This window comes from Homo sapiens, chromosome 8 (assembly GCF_000001405.40).
Source record: "Homo sapiens chromosome 8, GRCh38.p14 Primary Assembly".
In the NCBI taxonomy this organism is placed as follows: domain Eukaryota; kingdom Metazoa; phylum Chordata; class Mammalia; order Primates; family Hominidae; genus Homo; species Homo sapiens.
Window position 1 is genome coordinate 144994814 of NC_000008.11, and position 19808 is coordinate 145014621.

General features: G+C 45.0%; 1 long non-coding RNA gene and 2 pseudogenes across 3 annotated transcripts in view, besides 2 other annotated features; 2 read left to right on the forward strand and 1 right to left on the reverse strand.

Moving 5' to 3' along the window:
• The window catches only part of ZNF252P (zinc finger protein 252, pseudogene), a 29311-nt pseudogene extending 21225 nt beyond the window's left edge, over positions 1–8086 (reverse strand). Inside the window, exons 1-3 of the transcript NR_023392.1 lie at positions 8004–8086; positions 4790–4956; positions 1694–1794 (exon numbers count right to left, since the gene is read on the reverse strand). The product of NR_023392.1 is annotated as a zinc finger protein 252, pseudogene (transcript). The remainder of the gene's footprint in view (positions 1–1693; positions 1795–4789; positions 4957–8003) is intronic.
• Positions 52–4084, forward strand: TMED10P1 (transmembrane p24 trafficking protein 10 pseudogene 1; annotated as a pseudogene). Its single transcript, NR_002807.4, has one exon. The product of NR_002807.4 is annotated as a transmembrane p24 trafficking protein 10 pseudogene 1 (transcript).
• On the forward strand, positions 7998–11233 carry ZNF252P-AS1 (ZNF252P antisense RNA 1). The gene has a single exon (NR_026974.1). It is a non-coding gene; the product is annotated as a ZNF252P antisense RNA 1 (long non-coding RNA).
• Positions 8391–8967: an enhancer, noted in NCBI's record as "H3K4me1 hESC enhancer chr8:146228590-146229166 (GRCh37/hg19 assembly coordinates)". NCBI's record gives its function as "activates a minimal SCP1, AML or CMV promoter by ChIP-STARR-seq in naive H9 embryonic stem cells {active_cell/tissue: H9 hESC(naive)}" and the evidence as "EXISTENCE:reporter gene assay evidence [ECO:0000049][PMID:30033119]".
• Positions 8711–8840: an enhancer, noted in NCBI's record as "active region_28111". NCBI's record gives its function as "activates an Ori minimal core promoter by ATAC-STARR-seq in GM12878 lymphoblastoid cells {active_cell/tissue: GM12878}" and the evidence as "EXISTENCE:reporter gene assay evidence [ECO:0000049][PMID:35858748]".
• Positions 11234–19808: the final 8575 nt, after the last annotated feature.

Sequence of the window (19808 nt, forward strand, 5' to 3'; positions counted from 1 at the left end):
TGGTAGAGGACTCATAGTAGTGGGTGTTGATCCCCAGCAGAAGGGCTAAAGGGGGAATGAGTCTCCAGCACCATGTCTGGTTTGTCTGGCCCACCAGCCCGGCATGGCCCTTGTCCATCGGCGTTGCTGCTTTTGTTCCTGCTGGGCCCCAGCTTGGTCCTCGCCATCTCCTTCCATCTGTCCATTAATTCTCACAACTGCTTCCATGAGGAGATCCACAAGGACCTACTAGTGACTGGCACATACGAGATCTCTGACCAGTCTGGGGGCACTGGTGGCCTGTGCAGCCACCTCAAGATCACAGATTCTGCTGGCCATATTTTCTACTCCAAAAAGAATACAACCAAGGGGAAATTTGCCTTTACCACTGAAGATTATGACATGTTTGAAGTGTGTTTTGAGAGCAAGGAAACAGGGCAGATACCTGACCAACTTGTGATCCTAGACATGAAGCATGGAGTGGAGGTGAAAAATTACAGAGAGATTGCAAAAGTTGAGAAGCTCAAACCATTAGAGGTGAAGCTGCGACACCTAGAAGACCTTTCAGAATCTATTGTTAATGATTTTGCCTACATGAAGAAGAGAGAAGAGGAGATGGTGATACCAGTGAGTCAACAAACACTTGGGTCCTACACTTCAGCATCTTTTCAATGTTCTGCCTCACTGGACTAGCCACCTGGCAGGTCTTCTACCTGTGATGCTTCTTCAAGGCTAAGAAGTTGATTGAGTAATGAATAAGGCATATTCTCCTCCCACCTTTTACCACAGCCAGCAGAACATCGCTGGGATGGGCCTGGCCTAAGGCATCCTACCAGCAGCACCATCAAGGCATGTAGGAGCTTTCTTGCCAGAAATGATCTCTTTTGGTGTGCGAGGACATGGGGTACCACCTACACCCAACAAGTCAATGAGGGACTTCTTTTTAATTTGGTAGGATTTTGACTGGTTTTGCAACAACAGGTCTATTATTAGAGTCACCTATGACAAAAAAAAGGGTTACCTAGATAATGCCAAAGTCAGCATTTGTCCTGGGTTCCCTTGTGTGATCTGTTTGAACCAAGTTTTCTTTTCTTCTCCCACTTGCTCAGCAGTTTGGGCTTCCATTCTAGTTCTTTTACCAAGATTTTTGTGTGACCAAGTTGACTTCATTCGGATTGCCTTCTTTCAATTTCCTTGTGAAAACACTCTTAACTTTCTCTTTACCCTTAGCTGAAATGTTTACGTAGCTTCTGGTGATATCTTTTCATGATTTTATGTCTCTTAAAATGGTGATGGATGTGACACTTCATAAAAGTGAGCTTTAAACTGTAGATAACTCTTGAAGAAAATGTCATTTTAGACAATTATATGCAGTATTATCATGTGTAGATTCATGTGACCACCATCACAAGAGACAGAACAGTTCTATCACATGGATCCCTTGTGCTGCGCTTTTACAGCCACAGCCACATCCCTTTCTTATCCCCTCACCCCAACCTGTGGCTACCACTGTTCTGTCTTCCATCTTTGTAATTTTGTCATTTCAAGAATGTCATATGAATGGAATCATATAGAATGTAATCTTATGAGGTTGACTTTTTTTCATTCAGCATAATTCCCTTGAAATCCATCCAAGTTGTTGCATGTATCTTCTTCCTTTTTTTCTTTTAAAAATGTTTTATATATTTAGGGGGTATAAGTGCAGATTTCTTACATGCATATATTGCATCGTGGTGAAGTCTGGGCAGTTCCTTTTGATTGTTGAGTCGTATCCCATGGTATGGATGTACCACAGTTTGCTTAACCATTCACCTACTAAAGGACAAAAGAGTTGTTTTCAGTTTTTTGCCCTTACTAATAAAGCTGCTGTGAACATTCATGTACAGGTTTTTATGTGAACACACATTTTCATTTTCTGGGATAAATGCCCAAAAGGGCAATTGCTGGGTTGTGTGGTAAACACGTATATCTTTGTAAGAAACTACCCTACTCTTTTTTCCAGAGTGGCTGTACCTTTTACATACAGCCACTCATACAATTCATACAGCAATGTATGACTGATCCAGTTTCTTCACATCCTCACCAGCGTTTGGTATTACTACTATTTTTTATCTTAACCATTCATATAGATGTGTGTAATGATACCACATGTGGTTTTAATTTGCATTTTCCAATGGCTAATGATGTTGAGTATCTTTTCGTGTGCTAATTTGCCATCTACACATCCTCTTCAGTGAAATGTCTGCTCATGTCTTTTGTCTATTTTCTATTTAGGTCATTTGTTCTTTTTACTATTGAGTTTTCAGAGTTTTTTTATACATCCTAGATAAAACTCTTCTGTTAGATACGTGGTTGCTTGAATTTTTAACATAACTTCTACCAAGGAAAAATAAGTAAAATTTACAACTCTTCTTGCATGGCCAGTCACTTACTTAATTCCTGTCCTTCAGTGTTCCATCTAGATAATTAAGAAATATGATGTATAAAATAGATATCTAGGAGGGCCATTAAGAGGGTAAATACTTAAAAATACAAAGCCAATGAAAGCAAAGCCAATAATCACTGTAGGAGTATGAGGTGCCTAAGGGCCAAAACTAATGTAAATAAGAGAAAATGTGGATATAAATGACCATGTTTATAAACAGCTATGAAAAATGCTGTCACTTGAAATCTTTCCCACATCTCTCAAGAAAGTAGGTAGAGTTTATCCTTTCTGTAATCTCTTTTTAACCCTGCTATCACAGGGCTTATTTAATCACAGTGGCAAGAATTACATGTATTTTACAGTAAAGAAGCAGAATACTGGAATTGTTAGAGAACCCTGATGTGTTGACCTGGATAAAGTACAAAGGTGGAAGAGGGAATGAGTTATGTTGTTAAAATCTCAGGCTATTCTGTTCATGTTCCTGCTACTATGAACCCAAACCTGTTTTTTTCCCCCTTTTGACTCCTTGTATCTTCCTCTCATGTGGCATAAAAGTAGTTCTGTCGTTAACTTGTACAACATTGCCACCTGCTGTTAAGAATTGGTAGGTACTGCTTCTGAGAACCTGGCTGCAGATCCTTACCATAGGCAGCAGATGTTGAGAAAGTCTACATGTAGTATTACATATACTAAGTTACAGAGGGTACATCCAAGTCTACTTGGATTCCATTCTTAAACTTTTTTTTTTTTTTTTTTTTTTTTTTGGGACAGAGTCTTGCTGCGATGCCCAGGCTGAAGTGCAATGGTGCTATCTCAGCTTGCTGCAACCTTCACCTCCTGGGTTCGGGTAGTTCTTCCGCCTCGGCCTCCAGAGTGGCTGGGAGTGCAGGTGCATGCCACCACACCTGGCTGGTTTTTGTATTTTTGGTAGAGATGGAGTTTCACCGTGTTGGCCGGGATGGTCTTGAACTCCTGACCTCAAGTGATCCACTGACCTCAGCCTCCCAAAGTGCTGGGATTACATGTGTAAGCCACTACGCCCATCCTCCATCATTAAACTTTTTAATGTGAAATTCTATCATGTACCATTAACCTAACAAGATTTTCTTTCCTATTTCTGACTGGTGCCTTTCCCCTTTTCAGGAGCAATGAAAGCTACTCTGTTAGTTATGTTCTTCTGATGTGACAAAATGTCAAGAAGATAGGAGAAGAGAATATTTTGTTTTGTTGATGCTTTTGTTCCCAAGTGTGACCCTAAACTTAAGCTTTGTAGGAGCTGATGTTCTCTCATGTCCCTTCCCTTTACTCATGCCAAAACTATCAACTAGGACATTTTGTGCTTTTGGTTTAAAAGTTAATTGATATTATACCTTGGTTTTATCCAAGAAGTAAAAGTATTTGCCTTTGACAAAAGACTGATACAAGAGCAAATAATCTTTAAAAACAGGGGTGTTATGTGCTTTCCTCCACTTTTGAGCATATTATCCAAAATGGTCTGTATAATATAAATGAGAATGATGCAGTTTAAGTAAGTATTTTTATACCATTGTCATGGACCCCTGTCATAAAGCCATTTTTCAGTTTGGGAAAGAGGCATATGGGATTTATACAGATTCACTTGTAAATGTTGCATTGGGGATTTTTGTGTAAATTTTCTCAAATAAAGGCTAGCAGAAACCAAAAAAAAAAAAAAAAAAGGGCTAAAGCGAAGAGCACATTCCAGTGAAAGGAAAGCAGGGCTCTGAAACCGAACAGATCCATATCCCAGATCTGCCACCAATAGGCTGTGTAAACTTAAGAAAAGTGACAGTATTTGTTAGCCTCAGGTTCGTTTATAAACTGTGTATCCTACCACCGATCATCAAGATGCAGAAAGATTAATTCAGGGGATAGGGAGGTACTAGGTGTGCAATGAATAATATTCTCCTTCTATAAATCAGGGAGGGTTGGAAAGGCATGGGAGGCCAAGGTGGGAGGATTCCTTGAGGCTAGGAGTTTGAGACCAACCTGGGCAACACAGAGGCTCTGTCTCTAAAAAAGTAAAATAAGACAGGCATGGTGGCCCATGCCTGTAGTCTCAGGTACTTGGGAGGCTGAGGTAGGAGGATCTCTTCAACCAAAGACGTCAAGGTTACAGTGAGCTATGGTCTCACCACTGCACTCCAGGATGGGCAACAGAGTGAGACATTGCCTATTAAAAAAAAAAATCAAGGAGGGTCCCAGTACCACCTGTCCCCCTCTCTGTGCAAACCAGACCTGCATGGTACCATGGTCAAAATGTCTGGTCTTTGGGCCCAGGGGGTGAGGAGCCTCTGAGCCCCAAGCTTGATCCTCAAGGTTAAGGAGCAGGAAGCCCAGGAGCTGAGCCCCAGGGAGGGAACTTACCTAATGAGAGTAGGTTCCCATAGGTCCCCATCATCACATCCTTGTAGAGGCCCCTCTGAGCAGGGATCAGACAGTCCCACTCCTCCTGGGAGAGGGGTACAGCCACATCCTCAAAGGAAACCACGATGTGGAATGACAAGATCTTGATGCAGCCCTCAGGTCAGGACCTGGAGGGAGAAGATATTAGGCTCAGGACTGGTAAAATCCCTCTGGGAACATGTACCTGTCTTCCCCACTAATGTGAACTCTTTGAGGCAGACACTATATTGGCTCATCTTGGTGTGCCCCAACTCTGACCTCTACTGTACCTGGTCCAGGGACAGTAAAACAGTGAGAAGTACATTTCAGGGACTTGAACTCAGGAACTGAGGACATCGGTGGAGACAGGGAGCTGTCCACCCTCTGGGACCAGCTCCTTATAGACAGACTCCTGCTGAGAAAAGGCTGAGGTCACATGGAAGAGACTCCATGAGGACCACTCACTTGGAGCCCACCAAGAAGGAGCTGCATGACAGCCATCACTAGGTCTCTGAGCTTGTCCTGAGGTGTGGGCAGAGCTGTAGGGAGAGGAGGGTGATGGAGCCTGACCAACCTTCTGCTCCCCATAGGTGCTCTGAGACTTCTAAGCCTAGACATTTTGTGGTAGCAGAGACCCAATTATGAGCTGCCTGAACACCCCAGGAAAGGTGGATGAACTAAGTAGCCAGTGGTCTCTGAGACCATATCCCCTCCCTAATTTTCTGCCATACCTCTCCATGTCTCAAGAGAGGCCTTCCTGAGGCCCCTGGGATGACAGCATCCTGAGGCCACCATGTGAAAGCCAGGACTGTGGCAGTGCACTTGGCCAGGAGAGACAATGGACTGCGTTTCCCAGGCCCACCTATGAGGTCCTGCGCAGACGGCAAACAGCTGAGAACAGCGGACCAGGCTCTGGTGCTAAGGCAGCGAATGAGCAAATGGAGAAGTTAACACATATGCATGACACACAGACACAACGCCCAGGTGGTGTCAGGTAATGACAAAGGATACAAAAAATTAATGACGCAGCACGAGGGCAGCGACTGGTGGTAAGAGATATTTTACACAGGATGGCCAGGGAAGACACCTCCGATAAAGTGACAACAAATCAGAGATCTGGATGGAGTGAGGGTAGGCACCATGTGGTTATCAGTGAGGTACATCCCAGGCAGGAGGAGGGCACAAGTGCAAAGGCTCTGAGATGCAAGCACACCTGTGTTCAAGAACGGGCAAAGAAGCCAGAGGGGCTCAAACAGACTAGGGGAGGGTAAAAGAGGTGGGTACCCTCTGGGGTGGGTACCTTGTAAGCCTTAGGGCAATGGGTTTTATTCTGAATGGATGGGAAGTGCCTGGAATGTCTGGGAAGAGTCATATGACCTCAGATGTGGTCTCTACAGCTGCTGCTTTGAGGGTGCTTTGAATAGACTATGGGGTGGGGGTAAGGAACAAAAACAGGAAACCAGTCAGAAGGTTCTAGCAACAATCCAGCTAGAGATGAATGTCCTGGACCAGACTGGTGGTGGCAGAAGTGACAAAAAGCAGCCAGATTATGGATACATTTCAAAGGTACCATCAATAGGATTTGCAGATGAATTTCATGTAGGACGAGACACCAAGATTTTTGGCCTGAGCAACTGAAATTATGAAATTTCCATATACTCAAAAGAGTAAGACTGCAAAAAGATTAAATGTAAAAGTTGTCTTGTATACAGTAATGTTTAAGATACCTATTAGATTTATAAATGGAAAATTAGGGCATTTGGATATACAAGTTGAAAATTCAGGAGTGAGGTTGGGCTGGCTGGGTATATACTGAAAACTGTCAGTACACAGATGACATCTAAAACCACAAATCTGGTTTTATTTTAGCAGTGATATGTGTCACTCCCACAAAAGCCTTCCCAATTGGCCTCAGCATACACAACAAGTCACCTCCCCACAGCCCTCTACACATAAACAAATTCCTTAGTTTAGTTCAGGAGGAAATGCGCCCTTTTCCTTCCGCTCTAGGTGACCGCAAGGCCCAGTTCTCGTCACCAAGATGTTAAGGGAAGTTTGCCAAGAGGCATCTGAAAGGAAATAAGGGGAATGGAGTGACCACAAAGGAAAGCCAAGAGAACGTTGGAGACACGTTCTAGAGCCCTGGCATTTCACAACAAACTCTGGAACAAACCCTGTCTCATCATCATTTAAGCCTTCGTTGGACAGACTTTCTGACTGGCAGCTGAACATAAGCTCATTGATGTCTTCACAGTCTCCAGCTGAGGCACACCTTGGCCAGAGGGAATCTTCCAGTCCTCAGACAGGGCTTGCCTTTGACTGGCCCCTGCTGCTTATGCCCTTTGTGAATCACAAGCGGTACCTCTTAGTGTACTCTGCCTTCACTCCTAAACGCATGTGGCAGGCATGTAATGCTGCTATTAGGCGCATGGGCTCTGGACTCGAATAGGACTGAGTTCTAACCTTGGATCCACCACTTACTCATGCAGAGGTCTCAGGTAAGTGACTTGAGTTTTTCCACAGACCATAAAATGAGATTGACACTACTCCTTAAGTGACTATATTGCGTTAAATGAGAATATGTATAAAATGCTCAGCACAGTATTAGCAAACCGCAAACAATACTAAGTCTCAATTGTCCTAATCAGTAAGTCAGCATTTACCGAGTGCCTACTAAATGAATGAGTGTTGAGCTTGTTCCAGCGCATCTGTGAGATATCACCTCCTGCCTATTCCTTTCCTTCCCCAAAACAGAAGCTCCTTCACACCACAGCTCTCACAGCTTTACCCTTTCAATCAATACATTCCTGCTAAATGAAATGCACTTTTCTCTCTTCTGAAAAAAAAAAAGCACAATTCAGCTCATCCCCTGACATTGCCCAAACTCCCTTCCTCTGCGAGATCTTTTTACCCATCTGGCTTCCCTGCCTCAGTGTTGCTCGGGAGCGTGGATGACAGCCCGTAGACCTGCACGCCCCGCTGCCTCCGCTCGTGCCTCACGCCACCCTCGCCCTGCCCGCGCCTCGGCCAACACAAAGCGGGCGCTCAGCACCCCGCAGCCGCCCTCGACGCGTCCTCTACGGGTCACTGAGGCCGCGGGGCCCGACCTGCGGCCTCTCAGAACCACGGCACCGCCCCTGCCCGCCCCAGCGCCACTCCGGCACCTCCGCACCAGGCGCCCTAGCTCGGGACTCACTCGGCTCGACCACGGGAAGGGAAGGAGCGCGAACGCTAAATCCCGTGCCGCGGGGAGCCAAGCCCCCTGGGCCGGAAATGCCTAATCTGAACTTCCGCCCTGCCCTTCAGCTCACCAACCAATTGAATTCCAGGTTTCGTGGGTCCGCTCTAGGCGGCTGATAGTACTCAATGCTCCGGCAGTCCTGCTCCTTCCCGGTTACGTCCCTTCCAGCCCTTGGCGGAGTCTGCGGGCGAGAGGGCGCAGGTGCAGAGGTGCCGCCGGCGGCGTGCGGCTGCGAAGGAAGGGACCCCGACACCGAGCGTTCCTGCGGACGCTCCTCAACCGGGGGTTGTTCTCCGTGCTCTGGACCCGGCCCTTCCTCACCTAGGACGTCTCGCGGTGCACTGTCCCCCTCTCTCGGGCGACTTTTCCCCCACCTCCAAGTAGTGATCAAGCTCAGAATCCAGCTCGCGCCCGCTGTGCACCTAGCACTTCCCACCTGTAGTCTTTTGACCTCATCGCCCCCTCTAGAAGGCTGCTGCCATCGCTTAAATGAGGAAGCCGAGGTGCAGAGAGGTTTCAGACCTATTGCGGTGGAGCTGGAGTTCGAGAACCAACCACTCGGTGCTGAGACGCGCTTGCGGAACGGGCGGCGGGCGGGGGTGAAGCGGAGTGAGGGGAGAGGCCAGGTGCGACCCGGGCAGGTGAGGAGCACGGGCCCGGAGGGAGGACTTACGAGAATGGAAAGGAAAGCAGCCCGTCTTCAGTGGGACAGTGGGAGCATTAAGATGTCAGAGAATGAGCAGTTGTGGGAAGAGCCATAGGGTATTTTATTTTTTAGAGATGGGGTTTTGCTCTGTCGCCCAGGCTGCAACCTCGACCTCCCGGGCTCAAGCGATCCTCCTGCCTCAGCCTCCCGAGTAACTGGGACTACAAGCAACGCGCCACCACACTAAATCTTTAATTTTTTGGGGGGTGGTTGAAGGTGGGGGCGGGACAGGGTCTCTCTCCGTCTCCCAGGCCAGAGTGCAGTGGCGCAATTACGGCCCGACTCCTGGGCTCAAGCGATCCTCCCACCTCAGCCTCCGGAGTAGCTGGGACCACAGGCGCCCACCACCACGCCCAGCTAGTTTTTGTATTTTTTTGTAGAGGTGGTGTTTTGCCATGTTTCCCAGGCTGGTCTTGAACTCCTGAGCGCAAGTGATCCACCCGTCTCAGCCTTCCAAAGTGCTGGGATTACAGGTGTCAGCCACCACGCCCGGCCCTAAATATTTTTTTAAAAGTTGGATTTTTCATGGTGCCCAAGGGAAGAGACACTCCTTTCCTTTTACTAAGACCATTTCTTTTAGAAAACTTTGTAATAGGAAAATCTTTCTTTGCCCTCTTGAAATGTATGTAAATTTTTTAAAAAGCTGCATAAGCCTCTTGCCAGTTTTATAAACCAGGAATTTCTTTCTTAAGGACCTTTCTTAAGGACCTTGGAGTGATTTCTTTGAAATAAAAAGGCCAAGGAAGATAGCTTCCCTCCTTGTCTCTGTGGGAGTTTAGCAGATGGCTGGCTCCAAGTTGCAATTACCTGCTTGTCATAGAGACATGAGGTTTATTTTAACTTTGGATAAAGGCAGTTAGCTAACACAGATGGCCGCCCCAAGTACCACGTACCTGCCTTCTCGTTTAGAAACACTGTGGGCATTAGGGGCAACTCATGCAGAAGACCCAGGAATCTTCCAGGTATACTCCATGGGATGCCTGTTCCACTCTGGCCCATTGGCACAAGCTAGCCTTTTCTTTTAAGGATAGTGGGGTCCGTTCTGAGAGCGGCCTTTGCAACATCTCACTTCCCCTGTTGACTGTTATTTCTTTTCTTCCTGCTTTCCTACTCCCTTGATCCCAAACTCACTAGGGGTATTTAGTGAGCACTTACTGTTGCAGTAAGACTCTAGCCAAGGAAGACGAAGAGACAGTTGGAGACCAAAGAGAACTTCAATTCGGGCACCCGAGCCTAGAGCAGGCTCATGCCCAAAATGGCTACCGACCCAGACAAAGAAAGCAGGCTTGCTTATATGTCGTTTCAGGCGTGAAAAACAAGGCAGGATACAAGTTTCAGACAAAGACAGTAAATTATTCAACCTGTGACAATTCTGAGAAAACTTACATTTAGTTATCTTGACCAGTCAACCTTGAAGCTGGACAGAGCTGGGGTAAGGGAAAACAGGAATTACGGAAGTATGAGGGAGTCGCGAGGCCGGAGATAAGCTTGGAAGGTTGAGATAAGCTCGCAGGTGCAACTTCTTAGCAATGCTGAGAGTGGCTGCTTAAATTTCTTAGCCTATGTATAACTTCTAAATAGCCTACACTAAATGGTAACTATTACCTATGTTGTGTTTGTTATTTTAAACTTTAATGTTATTTATTTTATTTCATTTTCCTTCCACATTACCTCTGCTGTTAGCAGCTTTGAGAAATGCTGCTATAGGATGTGGGAAGTCATTAAAGGATTTAAGCAGGGAGAGGCAAGATCAGATTAACATTTCAGAAAAATATTTACTGTTTTCCAGCTGAAACTAGTAGAGTACAATTTACTTTCTGGTCACAGCACACAGCAGTCACATCCTGGAGGAACTGTACTTCTCTAAGATCTAGTCTGTCCTGTGGTTTAAATGACCTTTAGCAAATTGTCTTTATTACTTTGTACACTGCTTTCACCAGTCTGCTCTTCCATGGCTAACGGGGCAGAACTGTTATTTTTAGGGTTTTCCACATCCAGTATGTTCATAAGATTTCTACCCTGTGTGAACTTCCAGATGTCGAATAAAGGCTGGATGCTGACCAAAGACCTTTCCACATTTTTTACATGTGTGTAGGGTTGCTCACCAGTAGTATTCCCCTGATGCTTCATAATGGTTGATCCCAGAGAGAATGCCCTTTCACACTCATTACATTCATAGGGTTTCTGTCCAGTGTGAGTTCTGTGATGGGAAATTAGGTTAGAACTTTAAACAAAGGCCTTTCCACGTTTGTTACACTGATAAGGCTTATTTCCAATGTGGATTCTTTGGTGTTACACAAGATTAGAGCTGTAGTTGAAGGTTTTCCCACACTCTGCCTTCATAGAACTTGTCTTTATAGTGAAATCTCTGGTGTTTTCTAAATTGTGTTAGTCCTTCTTAAGGCTTACCATGTTCACTACACTACACAATTCCTCTCCATGGTAACTATTTGGGTGCTCATTAAAGGCTGTACTCTGACGTTCTGCATGTTTTTGAGATTTCATTAGGATGTGGGCTTTCTGGTGATTGTTAAAATGTGAGTTATCTGAAGCTGTGTCCAGATGAATTACGTTGATAGGTTTTCTCTTTTGTGGGAACATTCAGATATGCTACAGGGTTTGAGGTCAAGTCTAGGATGCTGTCAACATTGTTATACTCCTGGCTTTTCTCCCATGGAATGTTTTTATGGATCACTGTGATTTATCTTCACATGTACTTGACTAGTACTTTCTTAAACATTTTCTTAGTTTTCCTCTACAAAGATTTCCCTGATATTTCTCTAGTAGACTCACAACTCTGTAGGCTTTAAAAAAGTTGGGTGCTTAGTCAATATCTCCTTTTTAACACATACCACCCACTGTGGTTTCATGCTTTGGGGGTTCCTTTTGGAGAGGCAACTCTTTGTTATCTGCCTCACAACCTGAAGCAATACAGCAAGCAGGAAACATGGCATAATAAAAAGACCACAGCCTTTTAATTCTAAAGACCAAGATTCTACATTTCCTCTTCTCCTTTCCAGACAACTTAGTCCCAAAGGTATAAAGTAAAGCTGAGCAAGGTAGCATCCATACCAGGGCTGGGGGAACCAAAGCAGGAAAGAGCAGCAAGGTGGAGGCCATCCATATAGCAAGACTGGCACAGTGTGTCCAGCCTAAGCAGGCTGAAGATGTCTTCATGGAAGGGCAGAGGCAGAAGGGCAAGAGGCAGGGGTTACAGTGAGCCAAGATTGCACCATTGCACTCCAGCCTGGGCAACAGAGCAAAACTCTGTCTCAAAAAAAAAAAAAAAAAAAAAAAAAAAAGATGAAACCCCTATTTGTAAGACTAAAACTATAAAACTCTTAGAAAAAAAAAAGGCATAAATTTTTGTGACCTAGAGTTCGGCAATAGTTTCTTATAAGTGACACCACAAACACAAGCAACCAAATAAAAGATAGGTTGGACTTCAAAATGAAAAACTTTTGTGCTTCAAGAAATGCCATCAAGAAAGTGAAAATACAACCTATAGAATGGGAGAAAATACTTGCAAATCATATATCTGATAAGGGCACAATATCCAGAATATATAAATAACTTTTACGACTTGTCTAAACAGACTACCATAGGCTAAATGGCTTTGACAACAATTTATTTCTCACAGTTCTGGAGGCTGAAGCCCAAGATCAGGGTGCCAGCTGGCCGTTCTTGGTGAAGGTGGCTCCCTGGTTTGCAGACTGTGGTTTTCACACAGCACCTTTGCCTAGCGGAAATGGGAAGCCTCGGGCCCTTCATCCTAATCCTGTCTTGGGCCTCCACCCTCATTACCGCATCTGAACCATCTCAGTGGGGACTGGGTTTCAACACAGGCATTTTGTGGTGGATACAAACATTCTGCTATAGCGCAACTCGACAATAAAAAACATCCCAACTGTAAAGGAGCTGGAAAGGCAGAAAGCTAAGGTCAGTGGGGGATGCTCTGAGCGTCTGAAGACAGCGCAGCTATCCGTAAGGATCACATGCGGCTTCCCTCGCCTCCAGCTGCGCAAGGGCAGGTGCGGGCAAGGAAGTCCCACTGGGGCTTTTGGGGACCCAGCACAGCTCGGGCGAGTGGGTGAGGGTAGAGAGGATGCCTCAGTGCGTCCGGACACCACCGAGACCATAGTTCTCCAAGGGCACCTAGAGTGGATCCAGCTGAGTTCAAGTCCAGACGCTGCCTCAGGACTTCTCAGGACCACACTTCCCGCCCAGGTTGTTTCCTCCCTCTGGGAGCAGGAAAGGAGATGAGTCTTGGGGTGTGCGTGGGACTACTGGCCTGGAGCTGCTGTCAGCTCTGAACCCTCCCCCTCTCTCCAGGAACGCAGTTAGGCTTTTCGCGCTAGTCCCCCGGTAGGGCTGGCCGTCTGGGGCGCTCGGGCTTCCTTCCCTGACGGGCTGCAGGGTCTTTTGTGGCGTTTCTGTCTCCTTCGCCGCAGTGTGATCTATTGTTAACAGGGGTAAATCCACATGGGTCTGCTGCAGCCTCAATTCTTGCCTCCTCAGAAGAAAGAATTTGACGGAGAGGCATGAAGCATAAGGCAGAGGGAAAGATGGAGGCAAGTTTTAGAGCAGGAGTGAACATTTACTAAAAAGCTTTAGAGCAGGAACAAAAGGAAGCGAAGTACACTTGGAAGAAGGCCAAGTGGGCCACTCAAGAGATTAAGTGCACGGTTTGACCCTTGACTTGGGGTTTTATACACTGGCAAGGTTGTGGCGGTCGGGGGTTGGGGAGCATCCCTTCTCCTCTGATTCCTCCCTTGGGGTGGGCTGTCCACATGTGCAGGGTGGAAGTGGGGACACATGCCCAGTGTGTTTACTGGAGTTGTGTGTATGCTCACTTAAGGTGTTTCTTTCCTTACCAGTTGAGTCTTCTAATAAGGTATCAACCGGTTAAACTCTGCCACTTCACCGCCCTGTGTGCATGCTCAAGCCCACTTGCCCAACTCCTAAGATCTCATTGGGAAGCTGCTGATCACCAGCTTCAGGTTTTTTCTATCTGTTGGGAGACTGCCTTTCCCTTGTGCTGGCAGCAACCAATTCTTATTTGAGAGAGACAACTAACAACTACCTGACTGTCCCCTGATGGTCACCTGGTGTTCCTGGTGGGTGGGAGGGCTCTCCTGACTGCCTGACTACCTACTGTAACACTATCACCCCCACTGAAGCTCCCGAGCTCTTGTGGAAGACGTTATCCACTGAGCCTGTTCCCAAGAAGCAAGATTTTGACTTTACTAAACCCTCCACAATCTGTCAGATACAGCGCTGCATGGATAAATAGCTGTGGATGACTGACCCAGGAAGGTGCTGGGGTAAGCGGGCTCCTGAGAGACAAACATGCTCGAGAGAGAACTTTCTATTCAGTCAGCCTTTGAGCAAACGCTTCTGTTACATACAGCAGGCATGGTGTATTAGTCTTGTCTTAGGCCGGGCGCAGTGGCTCATGCCTGTAATCCCAGCACTTTGGGAGGCTGAGGTGGGCAGATCACAAGGTCAGGAGATCGAGAACATCCTGGCTAACACGGTGAAACCCCATCTCTACTAAAAATACAAAAAGTTAGCCAGGCAAGGTGGTGGGTGCCTGTAGTCCCAGCTACGAGGCAGGAGAATGGTGGGAACCTGGGAGGCAGAGCTTGCAGTGAGCCGAGATCATGCCACTGCACTCCAGCCTGGGTGACAGAGCGAGACTCCATCTCAAAAAAAAAAAAAAAAACAGAAAAAAGAAAGTCTTTTCTTTCATTGCTATATTCTCTCATTGCTGAGATTGGGCAATTTATATTTTTTTAAAAAAGGTTTAAGAACCAGGGGAGCTGACAGCATAAACCTCTGTCCCAGGGCTGGAGAAAATGAAATTAGATGTCTCAGCTCAAGGTGAGACAGGAATAAAGGGGCAAATTCCTCCTTGCTCCACTTTTTCTATTTCACATCCCCAACAGATTGGATGATGTGCACCCATATTGGGAAGGGGAATCTACCTTGCTGATTCAAATGCTAATCTCATCCAGAAGTGCCCTTGCCCAGAAATAATGTTTAATCTGGGCACCCCATGCCTAGTCAAGTTGACAGGTAAAGTTAACCATCCCGGTAATTATTATCGTTTTTTCCTACTTCACAGATGAGGGACCTAAATCATATAGAAGCTGAGTAATTTGGCCAAGGTCACACTTCTAATAATTGACCAAACTAGAACCCAGGTAGATTGGTGCCCATGCACTATCATGTACTGACCAGCTGAAAAGTCTAAGACTTTGACCCAAGCTTAGAGATCTTGGGCAAGTCCCTTAAGCTCTCTGAGAATCCATTTCCTTCATTTATAAAATGGAGATAATAACAAAATGTATGTCATCTACCTCATTAGTTAGTTGTAAGATCAAGTGAACTGTTAATAACTGGACATGAACTAATTGTTGTTAGTGTTCTCAGAGCCATATTTGCCAGCAAATGTGCTTTTGATAGCTTAGGACTATCTTTAACTGTTTATGAAAGAAGCATACGCTAAAACCTTGCAAAATCCAGTCTAAGTAAATATGACTGTTATGGGAAGGCCATCTCTGGAGTTGGGCCCTTTATAAAGAAGATTCCAAGGCTCCGATACCTGTCTTCTCTTCAGGAAATGCACATTCCTGTCCTGCATTTTCACTGATTTTTGTGAGATGCTTATAGTCAGGAAAATTTATAGCAGTACCCTTTCCCAAGCATTCACTTTAACTATGGAAATATATGGTTATTTTTTTCCTTAATTGATATCATATTCTTTTTTTTTCATCTTCCTTCTTGGTATATATTTTCTTATAATTTTTCCTAACTTAAAAATTAGATGATAATTTTTTTGGCTTTAATTTCTTGTATGATGGTGTCTTTAATGACTTTGTGCCTTTCATTTATTTACTGACATCCATTCTCCTATATTTTATTTTATTTTTTGAGACAGGGTCTCTATCTTCTAGGCTGGAGTGCAGGGTGGTGCAGTCATGGCTTACTGCAACCTTGAACTTCTGGGCTCAAGTGATCCTCTTGTCTCTGCCTCCTGATTAGCTGGGACTACAGGTACACACCGCTACACCCAGCTAGTTTTTAAAAAATTACTTTTCGTAGAGACAGTATCTCACTGTGTTGCTGAGGCTGTTCTCAAACTCCTGGCCTCAAGGAACCCTCCCAACTCAGCCTCCCAAAGTGCTGGGATTACAGGCATGAGCCACTGCACCTAGCTTATTGTTCTATATTTAAAAAAATCTCTTATACGTTCATTATTCTTAAGATTTCAAATATTCTTTGAGGAAGCAATACTTTAATCAGTAATCTTCACCTTTAGCTCATTTTTTAAAGCAATTTTGTTTGTTTTTTTAGAGGCAGAGTCTCCCTGTGTTGCCCAGGCTGCAGCCTCAAACTCCTGGCTCAAGTGATCCTCTTGCATCAGCCTCCCGAGTAGCTGGGGTTACAAGCACACACCATTGTATCCAGCTTTCTCTTCTACTTAAAAGAGAAAACTCAGAGGATGCAATCACTTCCTCCTCTGAAAGCCATCCTCTCTAGCTGTTCTTGATTTAGCCCCTTCCTCTACATTCCCAGCACAATTGTAATCTTCCACCACCAAGTATCCTCTTTTAACTTTACAGTCTCCCTGTCAAGTTCCTCTGCCTACAAATACCTGTAAGGAACTTTCATCCTAGTAAAACTCTTCTTGGTCCTTTGTCTCCTTCTAGCAATTGCACTACCTTTCAAGTTTACTGAAGGTTTTCTGTGAGTACAATCTTTGCTTTCTCACCTGTTTCACATCTTAACCATTGCCTTCTCATTTATGCACCTTTCTCTTTGCCAGAAATGTGGTGACAGAGATCACTGGTGACTCCTTTATTGCCAGATCCAGTGCATGCCTCAGTCCTTAATTCCCTGGAACTCTGTTGAATTTGTCATTGTGGTTACTTAGTCCCTCTTAAAAGTTTGTGTTATCTCCCCCATAAGATGTTGGTCTCTTCGTTTTTTTTTTTTTTTTTTTTGGCTTTTGCTATTGTTACCACTTGTCACTGTCTCCATGTTAAAATGCCAAAAATGATCTAGTTGCTTTTGCTTTTTTCCCTATTTTCCACCCAGTCACTCCTTACCATGACTCCTTCCCTCAGAGGGCACGTAGCAGTATCTGTCCCGCCAGTCCCAAGGCCCTGTGGGAGGAGACTGGCCTGCATCTCTCTAAGACTTAGTCTGATGCCATGCGCATCTCTTGTTCTGTGTTCAATCAGTAGTCCAGGGGAGAAGCTTCTGCCACTTCAGAGCTTTGCTAAACTATCCTAACTTGTCTAAATCTCCCCAGAATCGCCATCTTTGACCCAAGCTTCCATGCGACAGCCTAATCCATTTCCCTGGACAGGTCTCTTTCCTGGAATGCATCCCAGGCACCTATGCTCCTGGCACCCTTGAGGTCTCTCCTTTGAGTCAGGGTCACCAAGAGGGTTGAGGAAGCAGTACCCAAGGTCCCAGCCTTGGCAGGAGCTGCCCTGGGTAGAGCTGGACTTAGATCTTCTGGTAGTCTCATATAAACCCAGCAGTCAGCCTCTTCTAGAACCCTAGCCAGGGACTGGAGCAGGAAAGGACCTTTGAAATGAAGCCTGCCTTGTCCTGCACCTCCTTTTGGCTTAGATTGAAACATGAATTTCCTAATGGGTTAACTCCTTTAAAACAAGGAGTTGGGGGGAAGGGCGTCATGCACTCCTAGAGAAAGGTACACAGTCGCCCGGCTGGGAACATGCTTGGCGTCGACTCCATGGGCATCTGACTGGGTTTTCCATCTCAGGAAAAATAATTTGAAAGAGGCTTAGCATGAAGGGGAATCAAAGAGGAGGTTGTGATTCGGTCGAAGGTGCCTGGTTTAGTGCTGTAATTGTCTTATTATATATATATATATTTCTTGGAGTAAACATTTTAAATAAACAACACCATTGTCAAAAAAAAATAAATAAAAGAAAGGAAGAAAGAAAGTAAGTTCGTGCTCTTCCTCTGTGAATATTTTTTCCTTGTGCCCCTACCTTCCTGGTAGTTCATTCTTGGTATTCTTCAGGGTCCTCTTTCCTGTCAAAGGTCTTAACAGTGTCAATGTCTCTCAGGGTTCTGTCCTTGCCTTCTGCTCTTCTCTGGCTATACAGTCTTATTAAGAAACCTCTTTTCTTTCATGGCTTCAGCTACTACCTGAACTCCACACCTCATATCTACTTGTGTGTAAGAGGAAATTTCCACCTAGAATTCTCAAAGATCTTACAACTAAAAGTGTACAAAGTCAATTCCTCATGTTCTCCCACCAAATCCCCCAGATCCAAGTCCCTCGTTCCTTTTTCTTGGCCTTAGTTATGGGAACTGTAATCTGGACATCATCTTGGGACCCTTCTTCACAGTTATCTCTCCCACACCCAATCAATACCAAGTCCTAGTTATGCCACCTATATATTTCTTGATTCCATTTCCTTCCTTCCATCATTAGCATTACTTCCTTAGCCCACATCTTCCTTCTTTCCTCGATGGGCTACTGCAGTAACCTAACTATTCTCTTGACATATATTCTTGCTTTTGATCTACTGATCAAAGCCAGGACTCAAAAATCCATCACTGCTCCTAAGTTAAACTTCAAATTCCTCAGTCTTGTATATAAGGTCTGCATTATCTGGCCTTAGTTATAGGAACTGTAATCTGGAATCAACATTCAACAGCCTGATTTCAAATCACCTTCCACCTGTCACTTCTGACCATGCTGGCCTTGCTTTGTGTACTGAAATACACACCACTCCTTCCTCAGAATCTTTGCCATAAGTTGTTTCCTCTGCTACAGCACTCCTCCCACTCTGTTTCCCTGATGAATTTCTACTCACTCTTCAAGTTTTATTTATTTTTAAAATATATATTTTTTGATACTGTCATGCTCTGTTGCCCACGCTGGAGTGCTGTGGTGCTATCATAGCTCACTGCAGCCTCAAACTCCTAGGCTCAAGTAATCATTCCACTTCAGCCTCCTGAGTAGCTGGTACCACAGGCGTGACCCACTGCACCCAGCCACTCTTCAAGTTTTAAACTTCATTTACCTACCCTTCCCTGAGCATCCAGGTGAGAGATTAGCAGTTCCTGAGGCATTTTTGTTTCACCCATGGCAACCACACTTATAATCCCTTGTGTGGTGTCTGTACCAATAAGCCGTTTACTTCTTGGACTGCTTTGAGGATTAAATGACTTGCTGTATGCAGAGCCTTTGGAGTTTCTTGCACTAATGTAAACAAGAAGAATTTTTTTATTTACTTTAAATTCTAGGGTACATGTGCAATATGTGCAGGTTTGTTACATATGTATACATGTGCCATGTTGGTGTGCTGCACCTATTAACTCATCATTTACATTAGGTATATCTCCTAATGCTTTCCCTCCCCCCTCCCCCCACCGCACAACAGGTCCTGGTGTGTGATGTTCCCCATCCTGCGTCCAAGTGTTCTCATTGTTTAATTCCCACCTATGAGTGAGAACATGCGGCGTTTGGCTTCCTGTCCTTGCGACAGTTTGCTCAGAATGATGGTTTCCAGCTTCATCCATGTCCCTACAAAGGACATGAACTCATCCTTTTTTATGGCTGCATAGTATTTCATGGTGTATATGTGCCACATTTTTTAAATCCAGTCTATCATTGATGGATATTTGGGTTGGTTTCAAGTCTTTGCTATCATGGATAGTGCTGCAATAAACATACGTGTGCATGTGTCTTTATAGCAGCATGATTTATAATCCTTTGGGTATATACCCAGTAATGGGGTGGCTGGGTCAAATGGTATTTCTAGTTCTAGATCTTTGAGGAATTGCCACACTGTCTTCCATAATGGTTGAACTAGTTTACAGTCCCACCAACAGTGTAAAAGTGTTCCTATTTCTCCACATCCTTTCCAGCACCTATTGCTTCCTGACTTTTTAATGATCAGCATTCTAACTGGTGTGAGATGGTATCTCATTGTGGTTTTGATTTGCATTTCTCTGATGGCCAATGATGATGAGCATTTTTTCATGTGTCTGTTGGCTGC